The sequence below is a fragment of the Homo sapiens genome, chromosome 4 (genome assembly GCF_000001405.40).
Source record: "Homo sapiens chromosome 4, GRCh38.p14 Primary Assembly".
In the NCBI taxonomy this organism is placed as follows: Eukaryota; Metazoa; Chordata; class Mammalia; order Primates; family Hominidae; genus Homo; species Homo sapiens.
The window spans coordinates 67,444,513-67,446,333 of NC_000004.12; positions in this window are offsets into that span (position 1 = coordinate 67,444,513).

Below are 1,821 nucleotides of genomic sequence, written 5' to 3' on the forward strand. Positions count from 1 at the left end.
CGAAGTTGAAAACAGAAAACCAATAGAGAAAATTAATAAAACCAAAAGCTATAATAGTTCTTTGGAAAGATGAATAAAATTGACAAACTTCTAGCCAGGCTAAGAAAAACATGAGAAGATACAAATTATTAATATCAGAAATGAAAGATGGCACATCATTAAAGAGCCCATGGACATTAAAAGCATAATAAAGAATACAATAAAAAAACTCTACTCCCCAAAATTTGATAACCTATATAAAATGAACCAATTCCTTGAAAGACACTATCTGTCAAAATTCACAGAATCTGAAGAGAAAACAGAGTCAAAAATCCTCAACAAAATATCAGCAAATCTGATCTAACAATGTGTTTAAAAAATTATACATCATGACCAAGTGAGATTTATTCCAGGTATGCAAGGCTGATTCAACACTGGAAAATCAACTAAATGTGACCCATCACATCAACAAGCTAAAAACAAAAAGTCACGATTTTATCAATAGATTCAGAAAAAGCATTTGACAAAATCCAACACCCATTAATGATTAAAAAAAATTCCTCAATAAACTGGGAATAGAGGGGAACTTCCTCAAATTGATAAAGGATATCTACAAAAAACTGGAAGTCCTAGCTGAGCATTCAAGAGAAAGAAATAAAAGGTATCCAAATAGGAAAAGAGAAATTCAAACTATCTCTCTTGCTTACAATATGATTCTTAAAGACTCTTCCAAAAGGATCCTGAAACTAATAAACAATGTCAGGAAAGTTTCAGGATATCCAATCATTTTACAAAAATCAGTAGCATTTCTATAAACCAATAATGTTCAAGCTGACAGCCAAATCAAGAACACAATCCCATTCACGACAGCCGCAAAATAAAATAAAATAAAGTAAAATAAAATACCTAGGAATACATGTAACCAAAGAGGTGAAAGATCTCTACAAGGAGAACTACAAGACACTGCTGAAAGAATTCACAGATGACAGAAACATATGGAAAAACTTTCCATGCCCATGGTTTGGAAGAATCAATATCATTAAAATAGCTATACTGCCCAAAGCAATTTACAGATTCAATGTTATTTCTATCAAACTATCACCATAATTTTTCACAGAACTAGAAAAAATTAGCCAAAGCAACTCTAAGCAAAAAGCACAAAGCCTGTAGCATCACATTACCCAACTTCAAATTATACTGTAAGGCTACAGTAACCAAAATAGTATGGTACTATACAAGAACAGACACATAGACCAATGGAACAGAATAGAGAGCTCAGAAATAAAGCTGTACACCTACAGCCATCTGATATTTAACAAAGGTGACAAAAATAAGCAATGGGAAAGGGACTCTCTATTCAGTAAAGGTGCAGGATAGCTGGCTAACCACATACAGAAGAATGAAACTAGACCCCCTACCTTTTATCATATACAAAAATTAATTCAAGATGGATGAAAGATTTAAATGTAAGACCTCAAACTATAAGAATCCTAGAAGAGGTGAAAAGCGACGGCGCAGCACGGTGCAGCGCAGCTCCTGCTCGCCTTTCCCCTCGCTGGGCGAGAGGTGTCTACGGAGCACCCGCTGCCGCCGCCGCTACCGCTACCGCCACCGCCACCGCCGCCGGCTGCTGTCTCTATGGCGAGGAGGAGGAGGAGGAGCGCGAGCTCAGCGACACAAGTACATAAATAAAGGATAAAATATTTTATGAAACAAATCTTCAATCAAGTATAACATTTTGATGCTTGGCATCTAGACTCCCTTGTGCCCTCACTATGCCAGCGGCGACTGTAGATCATAGCCAAAGAATTTGTGAAGTTTGGGCTTGCAACTTGGATGAAG